Raw genomic sequence first — 20018 nt, 5'->3', positions numbered from 1 at the left:
GCACACACTGAGCTCGAACCAGGGACACCAGGGTCCCCAGGTCCCAGTGCAGGGACTGATGAGAAGACACTTTCGTCCGTGGGGAATCAGGCCGCGCTTCTCTGCGGCGAAGTTTTTTTTTTCTCTGCCCCAGGTGCCTCACCTTCCCCTTATGGGCTTTCTGCCCACCTTGGGGTAACACTAGTGGCCCGAGGCGTACCCTGGGATCAAACCAGAGACGCCAGGGATGTCAGTGCCCAGCGAACGGGCTGACGAGAAGACAATTTCCTCCGTGAGGGACCCAGGCACTGCTTCTCGGCAGCGCGTTTCTTTACTTTCTCTGCCTCAGGTGCCCACCTTCCGCTCATGGACCATTTGTTCGCTTTCTGGTACCGCAAGCGGTCCCGAAGCGCACCCTGGGCTCGAACTAAGGTCGTCACTGTCCACTCTGCCCAGCGTACAGCATAATGGGAAGGCACTTTCATCCATGGGGGACCCAGGCCCTGCTTGTCTGAGGCGAGGTCTCCTGTTTTTTTTTCTGCCCCTGGTGCCTCACCTCTATTCCCACAAACTTCAAATTCAACTCATGGGCCTTCTGTCCGAGTTGGGGTACCCCTAGTGGCCCGACGCGAACCCTGGGCGCCAACGACGGATGCCAGGGTCCCTGGGGACCAGCGCAAGGGCTGATGGGAAGACATTTTCGTCCGTGTATGACCCAGAAACCGCTTGGCGATGCATTTTCTTCTCTGCCCCAGGTGCCTCAACTTCCCCCCCATCAGCCTCCTATCTCTCTGAACCTGCGCCGGCGCCGTGCGCCTCTCTGTGCCGCCACCGTTGCTGGGGGTTGGGTCCCTGAGACTTGGCGAAGTAGGAGTACTGGACTCGCGCACAGGCCCTGTCTCGCAGGTTTTCAGGTGCGCTTGGCGTTTCCTCCGCTTTGAGGGGCAGGTCTCCAGTGGCCCCCGGGCGCAGGCCTGGACATCACTGTCCGTCTCGTCGTCGCCCACTACGGCCTCAGAGACACGGGCTCACTGCATGTGCTCTTGGGGGACATCAGGGCCACGTGTGGTCACACTGGCTCCGGCTCGGACTACCCTCTGTCTCTCTTTGCCCGTGTCGCCGGAAGCCGCGTCGAGATGCCGGAGCCCCCGGGCCTTGGAGATGAAGGCAGGCCCCTGCTCCACCCAGGAAGGAGGGAGGCAGTGGGCTCGTGGGTCAGTGCCTTTGCAGCCGACAGCACGCCTTGCGGCCCTGGGGAATCTTTCTGCGCCCTGGCGAGCGCCTTTCCGCCTCACTGCATTGTAACCCCATTCCCGATCACCGGGTGGGATCCATCATCGGATCCCAAGAGGAGTCCGCGCAGCCCAGCCGGCACCCCGAAGCTCCTCCTTCACCGGGAACCCAAGCAGAAGACCGATTAAGGAGGTCCTGACGACAGGACTCCTATGGGTCCGACCCTGGGTCTCCCGCAGGCCCCTCTGGTAGTCCTCTTCCCACCCACCGCCTGGGGCTGCACCACAGCCGCCGCCGCAAGCTCCAGCACCGCCACCCCAGTCCCCGCAGCCGCGGCGTCGCCGCCATTTTTTAAAGGGTCCGCAGCCTGACTGCCGAGTAAGGGGGGGTGGGGCGGGTGAGTCGGCCTCGCCAGCGCGCATGCGCGAGGCCCGAGCCGCCGCTTCGGTCACAGTGACCGCCACCGTTGCCAAGGGATGGGTCCCTGAGACTTGGCGAAGTGGGAGCCCTGTGTGATCGTGCGTCAGAGTCGGGGCTGAGACCAGCCCCGGCCAGGGTAGTTACCGGGACGGTCTCCGGAGGCCGGGATTCGCGGAGGGTCCACCAGCAGGAAGAAACCCCAGGAGGAAGAAACCTCAGACAGATCGCCGGGGAGGCAGCGCGGGATCCCAGCCTCAGGCGTGCGCGGACGGTGTGCGGGTGAGTCTCCCCAAAAGTGGCGGCCTTGTGATGTCGAGGACAGGTCTCGCTGTGTGCCCGTGGGCTGCTGTCTCACCGGTGGCTCGTAGTCGCGGAGAGCAGAACCCGGCAGCTTCAGGGGCTGCCTGGGGGTGGGTGTTACCTGCTGTATATCTGTGTGCGTTATGGGGGTGTGTGTGCGCGTCTGTGTGTCTGTGTGTGTGCGCGCGCGCGCACGTGCGTGTCTGTGTGCCCACTACTGTCTCTCTCTTAAGTCTCTCTCTCTCTCTCTCTCTCTCTCTCTCTCTCTCTCTCCCTTCTCGCTCTTTCCGTCGCCCTCTCTTTCTGTCTCTGTCCGTCTGTGTGTGCGTGCGCCTTGGGACACATGTTCCCTGTGCGCCGGAGGCTGGGTTTCTTGCACGTCGGCCTTTCTTCTGGTCAGCCTCTCCCCGCGTCCCTGCCTGGGTGTTGTGGCCGGTTGGCAATCGTTTTCCCGGCGGTTCCGGTTTGGGGGTCTGTGAAGGCCTGGGCAACGTGGGCATCTGCGTGGGAGCCGCAGGGGCTTTCATTCCCTCCCCATCCGGAGCAGCCTCTTTGCTAGGCTAGATCCAGACGACCGCTCCCCAACCAAGGACAACAGCCTCCCAGGCGCTTATTGTCCACCCGCAGGAGGGTGCCCGCAGACCTTCCAGAAGATGCTTCTCACGCCTCTCGCCCTCTGCCCTCATGGAGAAATCTAGCCATAGCTCGACGCAGGGATGGAGAAGGAAGCTGTCAACGGGATGGGGCAAGCCTCTCTCTCACTCAAAGGCAGTATAGAGGTCCACCACAGAGGCATATCTAGTATGGTGCCCACCACCTCATCTTGGGGCTGGGTGAAGGGCAAGTGGCACTGCAGGAAATAGTAGCCTTGTTCTCTGTCCTCAAGTTGTTCCAAGATTGCAGCCCACACCAGTGCTTGGGCTTGTGAGAATGGAGGGCTCTCCAACAGTTCAGAAACAAGCAGTCTGCCACAGGGGTGAGAGGAGCAAAAGACACCCCCACCTATGCTTTTCCATGGAACATCAAGTCCCTCAGAGTATAATCTCTGCTGGATTTTTGCTTCCTTATTTTTCTGTGTTCAAGTTTCTTCTTGTGGTGCTCTAGCACTCCCGTCAATATAGATATTGGAATTAATGATTATTTATCCATAACTTTGCTTTCTCTTTCTGAGAATAACTAGATTCGAATATCTATAGTCAGTCATATTGAAGAAAAACCTCACAAATATACTTCTTAGTAACTCAACACCCAAGAGCAAATCATAATGGAAATTATAAAATATTTTTAATTAAAAAATGTATACTACATTATAAAATGTGTCATTTTAGAGGAAAATGTAGAACCTTAAATTCTTATTTTATGAGGACAACAAATTAATATTTAAAATGTTTTGAATTTATTGGAAGAAGTTAGAAATATCAACAGAAATAAAAGGAAATAAAAAATACATGCATAGTGATTAAGAATACAGGGAAAGAAAAGTCAAGAAATATGGCCAAAAGTTTGTTAGTTGTTGTAGGAGCCATACAATAACAAAACTCTGGAGAAATGGCTTGATAAAATTAAGAGAAGAAACAAGTATGCAATCTCAGGAATCAAAATAGGAAATAATTATACATCAGATGTCAAGAATTTTTTTTGTTTTTTGGAAAGGATCAGGTGGTAAATATTTTAGGTTTTTGGGCTATATGGTTTGTTGCAACTAATCAATTCTATTGTTGTGGCATAAATTGACAGTATGTCAATGAATGAGCATGACAGTGTTCCAGTAATACTTTATTTATAAATACTGTCTGGCTTATTTGCCACCGTTTATTGAGTTTTGTTATAAATAATACAAATATCAAGAAGGTAAATTAGTGTAGTATGAAAACCTTCAATAAATTTGGAAATATATGTAAAATGTGTGCAATTACTTGAAACAAGCATTTTTCCAAAAGTAACCTAAAGTGAAAAGAAAAATCTGAATTGTGCTACAACAAATGCATGTAATCTGTAGTCAGAAATCATATCATAAAGATAATTTCAAGCCATGATGACTTTACTGGCAAGTTGTTTCAAACATGAAACAAAACAATAATTCCAGTCTTACATACAATTCTTTCTGAGCATGAAACAGGAAAGAACATACTCTATTTCATTTTATTATGCTATTATGACTCTGATATTATAACCTGACAAGGATAGTAAAGGGAAAGTAAATTAAACACCAATGTAATTTATGAAAATAATGAAGGAAAACTTAAAAAAGTTCCACGCAGAAATAAGCAATGCATTAAAATGTAAGACATCACAGCCAATGTTTATTCTAAGAAACCCTGGGAAGCAATAATGGCCTCATGTAAAGATATCAATTAATATGATACACCACAACAAATAACTTAACAATATTATAAGCATATTTAATTTTATTTTCTTAAAAAGTCATACATTTTAACAACCCAAAATTAAAAGAGAATCTAGTTTAACTAATAACATTTGTTTTCAAAAGTTCTATTGAAATTATAACACTTAACAATGGAATGTTAAAATATTTCCTTTGTGATTGGGAACAAAATAAACATAGATGGTACAAGCAATTTTATTTATCCTTTTGCAGGTCTTAGACACTGGGATAGGATTGTAAATATTAAAAAAATAAGAATTATGAAAGAGAAAACAGATTACTATGTTACCGATGACACTAAGTACACAGACAATTCAAAATGATTGTAAGATACATTATACTAATGAATATGAGCTTTTAGCAAGATGCTTTGACACAAACGTATTATGCAATATTGAAATGCATTTCATATAAGTAGAGAACTTTATTTAGATGTGTCAATGTGGCTTACTCTCACAAACATAATATTTAGTGGTATGATTAAGTCACAAAAGAATATGTACAGTATAACTCAGTTTAAATAAAGTTCAAATAAACATAGACATAACATTGACATAAATATATTCTTGAATTGAAAGACTTTAATGAAATCACTTCTCCCCAAAATTAATCTTTGTAACTAGTGCATCCAAAGTAAAACCCAGTAAGGTTTGATTTAGATATTGACAAGCTAATTCTAGAATTTATGTAAACTCTAAAAATATTAAAATTCAGTTAATAATTTATTGAGGAAGGAAGAATATATTACAGGAAATATTATAAGACTTAATGCAATGTGGTATTAACAAAGTAATAAATAATCAATGAAATGGAATAGGTAGACTACAGTAAGGAAAATATAAGAACCCATGATATGTAAGAAAGCTGGTATTATAGATCAGTGGTGAAAAATAAATTTGCCAATAAATGAGAGTGAGAAAACTGGCTATACATATGGAAAATAATTAAAGTGATTCTTTACCTTATATAATATGTAACAATCAATTCCTTGGTGATCAATATTTAAATGTAAACCCAGGTAAAAATTACAGAAAACCCGACAGTAAAACAAAGAAAATGGCTTGCACATGTGCTTTATAAAATGTAAAATATAAGTGTCCACCATACATATTTAGAATCACTTTAACTTATTTTTAACACAAAAATGCAAATGAAAATGTTTTATATGTACATTATTACTTATACAACAGATTGACCAAAAACAGTCTGACAAGAAAGACTTCTGGCAAACATATAGAGCAATAATAATTTCATATGCTTTCCTGGAAATGGAAATTATATCCGTTTTAAAAAGAGGCTTGTATTACCCAGTAATATTGAAGATGACCATATATTCTAATCAGCAATTGGCTTTCACTCCTTATTTTGTATGTACGTGGTTGGCCATTAAGAAATGTGATCCAAAATATTTACAGGCTCAGTTAAGTACTATAAGCAATGCAAAAGTTAAACAACAGTAGAATGTGGTAGATTCATACAGTGGAATACTACACTTTAGAAAAACATAGATAACTTTATTTAGATATGTTAATGTGGCTTACTCTCACAAACGTAATATGCAGTGGTATGATTAAGTCACAAAAGGATATGTACAATATAATTCAGTTTAAATAAAGTTCAAGAACACAAAACAGCAAGTTGGATTGTTTATAAAATGTTTACTGGACACTAAATCTATAAAGATAATAATAGAAATTATTTTAACACATCCTTCAATTACCTTTCATTCCTCCAGAAATTTGTTGAAACCTCTTGAATGCCTATGACCTTTCTCATTTCCTCCACTGTTTAATTTCCTTTTATACTTTGTTTAAAACTTTGAATGGACATATGAGAGATGAAGTCATATTTTTCTAAATAAGTTCAAAAATATTTTGCTTTAAAATATAAGTAGTGATTAAATTTCTAAGAATTGAGCAATTGTTTAATGTTATAAATTTAGTTTTCATGAATATTTCTCTCTCCACATTTCTTCTTCTCAACTTGCTCATATCCCTTCAAATGACAAAATACTTAGAAGTCAAGTTAGATATATTTTTGAAGATATTATTTGCTTATTTATCTATGAGAGGTCAACAACAACTTCCATGAATATTAGGAAAGCAAATATCGGTAGCTCTATTCACTTCAATATTGAATTCACCTATATCTGAAATTTAAATGTCAGTGATAAGACTGACAGAATGTGACAATTTCTTTAGGTAACACAGCACTAAGTGGCAATACTTTAATATTGTCACTGTTACATTTTTCAGATATACAATATATACTTTACCAAGAATCCTAGTCTATTAAGTTCTAAGGATGAGCTGTCTTTATACAAATTCACAATAAATAGCTGTGTAAATAAGAGTTACCATTTTTATTTTATAGCATAAAATGTATTTCAAATAGTTGTACAAATCAGATATGTTATAAAAGAAACATCTTTCCTATTATTGAATTACCCAAAGTTGCTTACCTAACATAGAATCTTGTGGAGGAAAATAGGCCAGTGAAATTCAGTGATTATTCATTATGATCAAGGTGATTAGTACAGAAATCTCCATGACTATTCTGTGCAGTGTCTTTTCTTTAACAATATTTTATAATCATTCTTATTTTTACTTTCTGTAGACAAATCCTTTCTTGTTTTGCCTCCTTTTAGGTACTTTTGAGATTATAAAAGTATATAGTAAAAACAAATGCACACACAAAACTATTCGGTTGGTATACTTAATTTTGTCAGAATAGATTTAGTCCAGGTATATTCCAGTGGTTTCTTATTGAAAGTCCATCCTAGTCCCCTGATTATTACTTGAGTGTTCAATGATGGTTTTTCCTTCATGTTAACAGGAAATAGTTTTGGTTTCTGCTAAAAATGGCAGTTGCCACCAGAATGTGTGAGTTTTATTTCTTAGAAAATAACTATATTTTATATTTGGTGAATATCTTAGTTTTGCATTTAATTTGCTAAGTAGAATCAATGCAATCACTATCATATTCTATAGTTTTTCCTAACAGATCGATAGAGTAAAATGTATGGTTTTTCTAATTTTTAGCATGTGTGTCCAATAAAATGACTTTATATAATTTTTTTCTTTTTGGTTCATTTTTTTTCCAGTCAAAGCTTCTTCTTTAGTTTCTCATATAATTGATTCAAAACTCGTAAGTGATGATCACAGTAACCTTAGGTATTTCTTAATTCTCCATAATAAATATAGCATCTGAGTCTAATTTCTTCTGGGAGATTTATTAACTTTTAAGATAGTATGTGTCACTTACATAATCTAACAATGCATTTTGCATACTAAAATGATGAAACATTCTTAATGAATTTAAATAGCTACTTTATCAGAAACAGGAGTCATAGGTTGAATTTTTATGTGAGTAGTAGAGCTAAGAATATTTGTAAAACAGCTCTCCATGATGGGCTCCAACAGGATGAAGTAAGACCACCTATCAAGGAAGTAAGATCAATCCCAAAATGAACTGTACATGAAATTCTGCTCTAAGATCTTTTTGCTTTTTAACATGATTTCAGAAAAGGCTAATTTTTGTAATGGACTACAATACTTGTTTTGCTACATAAGCTTTCAGGATTTTTTTTCTTTTATTTTTATTTTAAAATTAATTTTTGAGCAGCATTCTTGACTGCAAGAAAGCTTCTGTCAGTTTCCCAAATTACTCAAATAACATGTATTTTACACTGAAAATCATGAGCTCCTTAACTCAAAGCTTTTCCTTGTTGTTTTTGTAACTATTTACCATACAATTACTTGTAAATGAAATGTATAACATAAATATGTGCTAACATAAAGGGAAATGTTTAAATATTTTTTAAACTTCTGAAAAAAGATAAAACTCTCGGTTTTTAAGAACATTGTATCTTTCATTTTATCCTTCTTTCTCCTCCAAATATATTAATAACTATCCTTCTATTTGTTACATTCTTTTACTTAAAGGGACTAAAGTATAAATCAGGTAATTAATACACAAAACTTTATTCTGTCCCTTGCTTGTAGCACTACTTCATTCCAGTTTCCTCAGAGTTTATTATATAAATCAGACAGATTTGTAAATAAGTATTTTGCAGTCTACATTTATTTGATTATGAAAATGGAAACATAGAATAAAATGTGAACAGATAATAAGCTTTACTTGTGTGTTTCTCCATCTTTTCAAGTTGATCAGGTATATGGATGGCATTTTAAATAATGTGTTAAATTTAGAGAATACATTAAATAGAAAAGAAAATTGTGGGAAATAGGAAAGCCTTTCCATTAAGGGTTTAGATATAAAATGTTCTATTCAGTTACAAACTGAACCTAAAATGAGAGGTTTTTTTTTGTTTAACTGAAAGAGCTAGAGAGTAATTAAAGGTAATTTGCATGTTATTATTCTTAAAAGGTTCGCTTTTCTGTTCTAAGAATACCAGGAAACAATTGAATAGATAAAAAGCAAACTATAAATTGCCAAATAGATCTTTTGTATAATAATACATCTCCCAAGACAAAAGATATTTCAGACCCATAAAAAATAAGGGAAGTGTATTTGCCCGACTGGTCTTGCATCTTGCCTGACCACAATGAATTTGCATCAGATTTTAAACTCACAGAGTTATAAAATATCTTAATGTGTTAAGAGGGAATCAAAAGTGAATGTGATTAACTTGAAGGAACTAGTTGGCAGACTTTAACATTAGGCTAGCAGAAACTATTTAATAAATAAAACTGAAAGCAGAAAAATACTTTTCTTAAATAATTATTAGTGGCAGATTGATACTGTTAATATTATTGATTCATCTGGGAAGTCCTCCCTCTTGCCCTTTCTCTACCCAGATCTTGCATTCTTTTGCAAAATAAGAACAATACAAACTCATTATTATTATTATTATTATTATTTTTTTATTTTATTTTATTTTTTTTGGAGACAGAGTCTCGCTCTATCCCCCAGGCTGGAGTGTAGTGCCGTGATCTTGGCTCACTGCAACCTCCGCCTCCCGGGTTCACGCCATTCTCCTGCCTCAGCCTCCCGAGTAGCTGGGACTGCAGGCTCCCGCCACCATGCCCGGCTAATTTCTTGTATTTTGTTTAGTAGAGACGGGGTTTCACCGTGTTAGCCAGGATGGTCTTGATCCCCTGACCTCGTGATCCGCCCGCCTCGGCCTCCCAAAGTGCTGGGATTACACGTTTGAGCCACTGCGCCCAGCCACAAACTCATTAAGTCACTTATTTACTACTCTATTCCTCAATGAACTCTTTTGTAGACTTCTACCCCATCTATAACCAATGCAGTGGTACTCCTCCCTCTCATATTTAGTTTCTCAGCTCAAGTAAGACTTCCTCAGAGGTTTAATCTAATTAATCTTAATCTAATTAAAATAGAAACCCTTACCCATTTATTCTGTCCAAAGCAACGTTTCCCCTCCCCTCCCCTTCCCCTCCCCTTCTCTTCCCCTTCTCTTCCCCTTCCCTTCCACTTCCTTTCCTTCCCCTTGCCTTCCTTCCTGCCTTCTTTCTTTTCCTTCTTTCTGTCTTTTCTAATACAAGGCTTGACCACTGGGATAAAATTGTCAAAATGTAAAAAGGAGATAATTAAAAAATAAATAGTACCTAAGTAGTATGCTAAAACATACATGGGGCAAGATCATCTTTGCATTTTATCCTTGGGTGCATTCTGGACCACCTTAATTTTTTTTTTTTCCTAAGACAGAGTCTCTCTCTGTCATGCAGGCTGGAATGCAGTGGCACCATGATGACTCACTACAGCCTCCACCTCCCAGGCTCAAGTGATTAATCTTAAATAGTGCAATTATTCTATTTAATCACAAATGTCAGCATCTCTTTTCTTTAGTTTTGGCACATGATTTTCACCTTTTATCCTCTCTCTCTCTCTCTCTCTCTCTCTCCATGCTTCATTATATTAGTTCCCTAGGCTATCACAACAAATTGACACAAACTAAATGACTTCAACAACAGCAATGTATTCTAAAACAGTTCTAGAGGCTAGAAGTCCTAAATACAGTGGGGCCACACTCGCTCTGAGGTCCCTAGAGAGAATCCATTCTGTGGATCTTCCAGCTTCTGGGGGCTGCCAGCATTCCTTTACTCATGCCAGCATTCCTTTTCCCCAGCTTCTGGGGGCTGCGCCACTCCAATCTCTGCTCCCTGGTCACATTGCCTCCTCTTCTGTGTGTCAAGTCTCCCTCTGACTCACTCTTAAAAAAACATTTGTCAGGCCAGGCACAGTGGCTCATGCCTGTAATCCCAGCAATTTGGGAGGCCGAGGAGGGCGAATAACTTGAGGTCAGGAGTTTGAGACCAGCCTGGCTAACATGGTGAAACCCTTCCTTGAATAAAAGTACAAAAATTATCTGGGCATGATGGCAGGCGCTTGTAATCCCACTCCTCAGGAGGCTGAGGCAGGAGAATTGCTTGAACCCGGGAGGCAGAGGTTGCAGTGAGCAGAGATCGCACCACTGCACCCCTCCAGCCTGGGCGAAAGTACAAGACTCCATCTCAAAAAAAAAAAGAACATTTGTCATTGAATTAGAGACCCGTGAGTATATTTCAGAATAAGCCCCTTCCCTTAAAGTCCTTAACTTAATCACAAGCATTGCCGTATAAGGTAATATTCACTGTTTAACGTGTCATTATATTCAAAGATTCCAAGGATTAACGCGTCACATATCTTTTAGAAAAAACTATTCGGCCTACTAAACTCGATGAATCTTCATCTATTGAGACTCAGGCCGAATCAGATAAAAAGCTTTACAATATTCCACACCTCTCTCTACATGTGTTAAAAACAAGGAGAAAGAGTTTCTCTTAAAATTTTAAGTTCACTAAAAATAGAACAAAAGCAGAAACAATTGAGGTTTTTGTGGTTGTTGCTGTTTGTGTCTTTATTTTTAAAGATTCTACTTTGTACCATATACGCATGGTAAATTATTCATTATCATATCTGCTCCTTTTTTTTCATTTGAAGTAATCATATTCCATGGAAAATATTTAAATTCCCAGGCATTGTTAGTTGTAGAGCTCATAAAATGTTCAATGCTTCAGTGAGTTGCAAATTGAAAACAGAAATAAATTCTTGGAGAAAAACTTGACAGTATTCTACACACTTTGCTCTTGATTGATGTCATGTGGTGATTCCAATAAATGACTTTTTTCAAACAACTTAAACTATAACTGATTTAAGTAAATGGGGGTGCAATGGTTCTTTCTTATATATCTCATCTGCTGAGATGCTATACACAGAATTTCAATCATCTTACCCTATGATTTTTCAAAGGTATATAAGAATGAATAATAATATTATTATAATAATATTATTCATTATTATTTATTCTAAAAATAAAAATAATTATAATATTCATTATTCTAAAAATAAATTTTTGTTTATTATTAATAAAATAACATTATAAGGATACATTTATTTATTACAATCATGAAAATATTTAAAATGTACCATTTTCTAGGTAGTAAACTAGTGCTTCACATATTTTTGTTTATTTAATCTTTATTTTTATAAGTCAACAACTATAGACATTATTTTATATTATTTATACTTTATAAAATATAATAAAGACATTTTAAAATATATATCAAATATATATTATAAAGTATTACATTATAAAATACTATATTTTATAAAGTAGATGACTATCGATATAGTCATTATATAGATGAGTAAACTGAGGCATATTGTTTCTGTAAAAACCTCAAGAGCGCACATAAAATAAATGCTGCAGACAATGAGCCAAAATCATACTAAGGATTTTGCTTCCAGAAGCTGCACTCTTAACTACTAGGCTCTAATGCCTCTTTTTATATAAATGATATCATACTGTTCTCTTTTGATCTGGCATCTATTAATTAGCATATTTATTGAGATTAATCTATTTTATAGTATGGATGAAAGTTTCATTTCTTTTATTGCTTGTAGTATTTCAAAATATGGATATATCAAAGCTTGCTTATTCATTCATCTGTTAATGAATATTTGATTGTTACATGCTCTTCACTATTAGCCCCTCTCTCCCATAAAAAAGTGCTGTGAATGTTTTGGTACAAGTTTTTTATGTACATATACTTTCATTTCCCTACAAATTGATTGGCAGTCATATGATAGGTGCATACGTCAAAATATTTTAAAAACTGACAAGGCTTTTTCCAGAGTCATTGTACTAATTTCCATTACCATTAGCAGTGCATGTATGTTGGTTGTCCTCTATAGTTTTGCCAACACTTGGCATGGCCAGCCTTTTTAACTTTAGCCATTCTTTTTTCTTTCTTTCTTTCTTTTTTTTTTTTTTTTTTTGAGATGAAGTTTCACTCTTGTTGCCCAGGCTGGAGTGCAATGTGCAATGGCACAATCTCGGCTCACTGCAATCTACACCTCCTGGGTTCAAACAGTTCTCCTGCCTCAGCCTCCCAAGTAGCTGGGATATAGGCGCACATCACCATGCCCAGCTAATTTTTGTATTTTTAGTAGAGATGGGGTTTCCCCATGTTGGTCAGGCTGGTCTCGATCTCTTGACCTCAGGTGATCCACCCACCTTGACCTCCCAGAGTGCTGTGATTACAGGTGTGAGCCACTGTGCCTGGCCTCTTTTTTTCTTTTTTGAGATGGGTTCTTGCTCTGTCACGCAGGCTGGAGTGCATTGGCACAACCATAGTTCACTGCAGGCTCCACCTCCTGGGCTCAAGTGATTCTCCCACCTCAGCTTCCGAGTAGCCGGTACTACAGGCATGTGCCACCATGCCTAGCTAAATAGAGACACCATGCCATGTCTTTTTCTTTTTTGTAGAGACAGGATCTCACTACGTTGCCCAGGCTGCTCTCTAACTCCTGGGGTCAAGAAACCCTGCTGCCTTGACCTTCCAAAGTGCTGGGATTACAGGCTTGAGCAACTGTACCCAACCCATTTTTGACAGACACAGATCAATTCCCTAATGACTAATGATATTGAGGATCTTTCCATGTGTTTACTTTCTATCTACATATGTTCTTTAGGGAAGAAGTATTCATTTAAGCCATTTGCCTACTTTTATTAGAGTTGCTACATTTATTATCAAGTTTTGAGAGTTCTTATATTTTCTGGACACAACTTTTTTGCCAGACATATATTTTGCAAATATTGTTCTCAGTAGTGTCTTATATTTCTATTTGTTTTACAGTGTTTCCTGAGGAACATATGTTTTACATTTTGATGAACTCGAGTTGTCAATTTCTACTTTGATGAAACATGGTGTTTGTGTCATGTCTAAGTAGTATTGAGGTCAAAGACTTTTCTATATTTTCTCCTATACGTAATTTTTCTTCCTTTTTTTCACTTTGTTTTTACATTTTACATTTAGGCATATGATCTGTACTAAATTAATTTTTGTATCATGAGTTACGTGTTAAAGTTCTACTTTTTGCATATGAGCATCTAATTGTTCCAGCAGAATTTGTTGAAGGGCTATCTTTTATTTACTGAATTACCTTTGTATCTTTGGAGAACACCAATTTACCAAAATTCTGTACATATATTTCTGAATTTTCTATTATCTTCCAATGACATTTCTGTCTATCTTTATGCCAATATCACACTATTTTCATTACTGTAGCCTTATAAGCTTTGGCATTAGATTGTGCTAATCCTTCAAAAATATTCTTATTTTTAAGAATTATTTTGGCTATTTTAGACTCTTTGCATTTCTACTGAAGTTTTAAAATTAGTGTGTAAATTCCTATAAACAATGCCTAATAATATTTTAATTGGTATTGTATTGAATCTATATTTAGGGATAATCACATTTTACCATGTGAATTTTCTAACCCATATTCATATTACATCTTTCCATTTATTTAAGTCTTCTTTAACTTTCTGCAGTGTTTTGAGTTTTAGTGTACCAGACTCACATCATTTGATAGATTAATTCCTAATTCTTCTACATTTTTCATGATATTATTAATAGTACTTTTATTTTAATTTTTTATTGTTCATTGCTGGTATATGGAAATATTAGTTTAATATGTTGCTTTTTTTCTTTTTTATGTTGCTAACTCACTTATTATAGCCAGCAGTGTTTTTGTAGATTTCAGTGGACTTTCTACAGAGACATGCCGTCTATAAATAAAACCAATCTACATTTTCCTTTCCCATCTGTAATTCTTTTGTTTATGTTTTTTGTCTATTTTACTTGGTAGAACGTCTAGTGGAATGTTAAAACAAAGTGCTAAGAGTTAATGGACTCATCTTGTTCCTGAAATAGGGGGAAATAAACTGATTTTTCTTCATTAAGTATGATGCCAGCTATTGTTTTTACATAGATATCTTTTATTAGGATATTCTTGAATTTCTTCTAGACAGTAATAACTTAGATCTTGTTTTATTCATCCAATCTGCTTTTAAATTGGTATATTTAGACCATTTATATGTAATGTGGTTATGTGTGCATATATTTTTTTTTTCTTTTTTTTTTTTTTTTTTTTTTTTGAGACAGAGTCTGGCTCTGTTGCCCAGGCTGGAGTGCAATGCGATGATCTTGGCTCACTGCAACCTCTGCCTCCTGGGTTCAAGCCATTCTCCTGCCTCAGCCTTCTGAGTAGCTGGCATTACAGGTGCCCACCACCATGCCTGGCTAATTTTTTGTATTTTTAGTAGAGACAGGGTTTCACTATGTTGGCCAGGCTGGTCTCGAACTCCTGACTTCATGATCTGCCCACCTCAGTGTCCCAAAGTGCTGGGATTATAGGCGTGAGCCACCGCACCTGGATATTTTTAGTTTTAAACCTATTATTTTGCTTTTGCTTTCTATCTTTCCTGAAGGAATTCAGAACCAGATACCCCGAAACGTGCCACTTTGGCATATTGATTTTTTTGAGTTAAAGACACTTGAAAAATAGCAGGTGCAAGAAAAGCACTCTGATTTTCCTTTAAAGCACTCTGACTTTCCTTTAAAGCACTCTGATTTTCCTTTAAGGCACTCTGATTTTCCTTTAAAGCACTCTGATTTTCCTTTTTCTTAAAAGTAGGAGGTAAAATTTCTACATGAAAGTTGCCCTCTTTATACAAGAAGGAAAGTAACAGTCTCATCACCCAGGATGAGAAGTTGAGGCAAGGGAAACCTGTACAAACATACCTTGTTAAACCAACCCTTATCCTGTTAATCACCTCTTCACCCAATTAACTACACTAGTTCCAGCTCCTTTGTGTTGTCATATTTCACAATTTACTACTCTGTGTCTACTTCAGAACATAAGTGATTATGTCATGGAGTCTTCCTTCCTTAAAGAATCTCTCATGCCACATAATACATGTATTAAATAAATTTGTATGCATTTTCCTGTTGATCTGTCTTATATCAATTTAATTCTCAGGCTTAGCAGAGGAAAAAAAAAACTAAGAAGATGGTAATAAAATTTTGCTTCCCCTACCATCCCATCTGTTTTTTGCTTATTTTCCCTCTTGTTTGCCTTCTTTTCTATGAATTAAATATATTTTACGGTTTCATCTTATCTCCTTTTTTACTTGAGAATTAAAACTCTCTATATTGTTAATTTTAATGGTTGCTTTTGAGTTTGTAGTATACATGTTTAACTCATCACATTCTACCTTCAAATTATAATATACTACTTTACATACAGTATCATGAATAACAACATTTTCATTATTTTATCCTAACTGTTGTTCTGTTATTGTCATGTGATTTATTTTTATATATGTTGTAAACTCATTATAAATTGTTATTATTCTTGTTTAAATTAGAGGTTAATAATGTTGTTTTCTTCTCTCTCTTTTTTTTTTTTTTTTTTTTTGAGACAGAGTCTAGCTTTGTACCAGGCTGCAGTGCAGTAGTGCCATCTCAGCTCACTGCAACCTCTGCCTCCCGGGTTCAAGAGATTGTCCTGCCTCAGCCTCCCGAGTAGCTGGGATTACAGGCACATGCCACCACACCCAGCTAATGTTTGTATTTTTAGTAGACACGGGGTTTCATCATGTTGCCCAGGATGGTCTCAATTTCCTGACCTCGTGATCCGCACATCTCGGCCTCCCAAAATGCTGGGATTACAGGCATGAGCCACCAGAACCGGACATGCTTTCCTTAAAAGCTAAATATTTTAGGCTTGTGTGCCATTAGGCTCTGTTACAACTACTTAATTCTGCTTTTGTAATTCTATAGCACCCATTGATAATACATAAACAAATGAGCATGAATGTATCTCAGTAAAAATTTGTTCACATAAACAGGCAGTCCACCCATGAAGCTATAGCTTGCTGACCCCTTGTTTAAACAATCAATTGAATTCAAACAGAAATAAAAGGATCTTATATATTTAACCATGTTGATACCATTTCCAGTGCTTTTCATTCTTCTATGTAGATCCAAATTTCCTTTTGATATTATTTTACGTCTGCCTGAAACATTTTCTTTAACATTTTTTATAGTGCTGTTTTACTGGTGATGATTTATTTCAGGTTCTAAGTGCCAGAACAAAATCTTTATTTCACCTACATCTTGAAAGATAGTTTCTCTGAGTCTACAATTTCCAGCTGACAATGTTTATCTTCCAGTACTTTAAAGATGTTGCTTCATTATCTTCTAATTTTCTTTGTTTCCAATAAAATGTTTGCTGGCATTTTTTGTTCCTCTGTGCAAACCGTGTTTTTGTCATTGGCTGCTTTGAGAATTTTTCTTTATCACTAGTTTTAAGCAATTTTATTTTAGTGTATTTTGTGCACAAGACAAGGATGCCCTCTCTCACCACTCCTGTTCAACATAGTATTGGAAGTCCTTGCCAAAACAGTTAGGCAAGAGAAAGAAATAAAGGTACCCAAATAGGAAGAAAGGACGTCAAACTATCCCTGTCTGTAGATTACATGATCCTATATGTAGAAAACTTTATAGGCCCAAAAGCTTAAGGCCCGAAAGCTCCTTAAGATGAAAAACACCTTTGGCAGAGTCTCAGGATACAAAAAGAACATACAAAAATTACTCGCATTCCCATACACCAACAAGAGTCAAGCGGAGAGCCAAATCAGGAATGCAATCTGATTCACAATTGCTGCAAAAAGAATCAAATACCTAGGAATACAGCTAACTAGTGAGGTGAAAGATCTCTGTAAGAACTAAAAACACCAAAGATATCAGAGAGGATGAAACAAATGAAAAAACATTCTATGCTCATGGATAGGAAGAATCAATATCATTAAAATGGCCATATTTTCCTTATTTTCAAGTATGCTATTGCGCTCTATGACTGCCAGATGTAATTCTAAAAATCTGTTTGTTAATTTTATTATTTTATTTTTGGAATTTCTTCAGACATTGATGGTCTTGTCCCAGTTATTAACAACATCTACATGTTTAAGAATAAATTTTCTTTTCTATCTACTTCTTATTCCATTGAAAATTACCTTTCTATCCTCCTACTCTGGAAGTCTTTATGATTCTGTCCTAATCGTTAGTATCCCATTGCTTCTTCAAGAGATGTCTATCAGTAGAATTTCTCCATTAATATAAGTTCATACTTCTATGAAAACTTTAAATCTCAAGTCTACAGTATTTCTAGTTCTAAAAAATATTTAAATTAGTTCTTTAATTATTTCCATCTTTATGTTTACTTTCCTTTTTTTTCTAGCATTTTAAACAACTTTACGTCAACAATTCTTTATCTTCACTTTACCTCCCTTTACCTTTCTTCATTTTATCCTAGCCATTGGATTCAGAGAAAATTATTCAACTTTTAAACTTCAAACTTGCTAGATCTATATTTAACTATGTCTATTGTTCTCTTCAGAACATCTGTTGAGTTTTTAATCCAAGAGCTATTATCAGTATTTTCTAAAATGCAACCTCTTCTTGCATGTCTCTGAAGATATGAATTACACTTACTGTAATTACATTTGTTTCTTGTCTTAATTCTGATTCTCTGAAATTACTTATTCTGTTTGCTAAGTTTTGTATCTTCTTTCTTGTTTTTCTTAAAAGTTGGGTGACAATATTTTACATGGGTAGTTTTTCTGTTAATCATAGCTTATCTCCAATGATTAGGAAAATAACAACTATGAAGTAGGACAAAGTAACCTGGTTTCTTGTGTTTTAGCATTGCTGCTCCCTGTTCCTTCCTGGTTTTGTTAATTACCTGAGACTCTGCCCTGTTGATGTTAGTCAGATTCTAAGACTCACCTTGCCAAGCAAGCACTGCTTTGTTATTCCAAAGTGAAGTTCATTCTTACTTTGTCTGGAAAGCAGTCTCTGCATCTTTTACCTCATTATTTCCCTCCTTTCATATTATGTTTCTTCCTTTACCAATTTTAATGGAGCTTCCCCTTTTTCGTCTCTAAGATCTCCTCAAAAACAAAACAAAAAAACATTATCAGCATTAACATATACGACAGAGAGCTTCATTGATGTGGTTTGGCTGTGTCCCCACCCAAATCTCATCTTGAATTCCCATACCTTTTGGGAGGAACCTGGTGGGAGGTAACTGAATCATGGAGGTAGGCTTTTCCTGTGCTGTTTTCCTGATAGTGAGTAAGTCTCATGAGGTCTGATGGTTATTATAAGGGGGAGTTTTCCTGCACAAGCTCTCTTTGCCTGCTGCCATCCATGTAAGTTATGACTTGCTCCTCTTTGCTTTCCACCATGATTGTGAGGCTTCCCCAGCTACATGAAACTGTAAGTCCAATTAAACCTTTTTTCTTTTGTCAATTGCCCAGTCTTGGGTATGTCTTTATCAGCAGCATTAAAACAGACTAATACAGTAAACTGGTATCAGTAGAGTGGGATGCTGCTGAAAAGATACCTGAAAATGTGGAAGCAATTTTGGAACTGCGTAACAGGCGGGGGTTGGAACAGTTTGAAGGGCTCAGCAGAAGACAGGAAAATGCAGGAAAGTTTGGAACTTCCTAGAGACGTTTTGAATGGCTTTGACCAAAACGCTGATAATGATGTGAACAATGAGATCCAGGCTGATGTGGTCTCAGATGGAGTTGAGGAACTTGTTAGAAACTAGAGCAAAGTTGACTCTTGTTATGTTTTAGCAAAGAGACTGACAGCATTTTGCCCATGCCCTAAAGATTAGTGAAACTTAGAACTTGACAGATGAATTAGGGTATCTGACAGAAGAAATTTCTAAACAGCAAAGCATTGAAGAAGTGACTTGGGTGCTTTTAAAGGCATTCAGTTTCAGTTTATAAGGCAAGCAGAGCATAAAAGTTCAGAAAATTTGCAGCCTGACAATGTGATAGAAGAGAAAAACCCATTTTCTGAGGAGAAATTTAAGCTGGCTGCAGAAATTTGCATAAGTAACAAGGAACTGAATGTCAATCCCCAAGACAATGGTGAAAATGTCTCCTGGGCATGTTAGAAGTCTTCACAGCAGCCCTTCCCATCACAGTCTCAGAGGCCTAGAGGAAAATGGTTTTGCTGGGCCCAGGGTCCCCATGCTGTGTGCAGTGTAGGGTGTTGGTGCCCTGCATCCCAGCCACTCCAGCTGTGACTAAAAGGGACCAAAGTACAGCTTGAGCTGTTGCTTCATAGGGTGGAAGCCCCAAGCCTTGGCAGCTTCCATGTGGTGTTGAGCCTGTGGATGCACAGAAATCAAGAATTGAGGTTTGGGAACATCTGCTTAGATTTCAGAAGATATATGGAAACACCTGGATGCCCATGCAAAAGTTTGCTGCAGGGATGGGGCCCTCATTGACAACCTCTGCTAGGGC

At 37.7% G+C, this 20018-nt stretch overlaps 1 long non-coding RNA gene across 6 annotated transcripts in view, besides 1 other annotated feature; it reads left to right on the top strand.

Moving 5' to 3' along the window:
- Positions 1 to 1661: 1661 nt before the first annotated feature.
- LOC105372733 (uncharacterized) overlaps positions 1662 to 20018 on the top strand; it is a 123425-nt gene continuing 105068 nt past the window's right edge. For 5 of the 6 annotated variants that reach the window (XR_951173.4, XR_951174.4, XR_951171.3 and 2 more), the window contains exon 1: positions 1662 to 1911. This is a non-coding gene — a long non-coding RNA (uncharacterized LOC105372733). Of the gene's footprint in view, positions 1912 to 16118; positions 16944 to 20018 lie in introns of those variants that run through there. The other variant, XR_007067819.1, reaches the window with a different exon arrangement.
- Positions 18605 to 18805: a silencer, noted in NCBI's record as "peak4341 fragment used in MPRA reporter construct". NCBI's record gives its function as "represses an SCP1 promoter by STARR-seq MPRAs in K562 erythroleukemia cells {active_cell/tissue: K562}" and the evidence as "EXISTENCE:reporter gene assay evidence [ECO:0000049][PMID:32103011]".

Source organism: Homo sapiens, chromosome 21 (assembly GCF_000001405.40).
Source record: "Homo sapiens chromosome 21, GRCh38.p14 Primary Assembly".
Lineage (NCBI taxonomy): Eukaryota > Metazoa > Chordata > Mammalia > Primates > Hominidae > Homo > Homo sapiens.
This window is presented reverse-complemented; position numbering and strand designations above follow the sequence as displayed.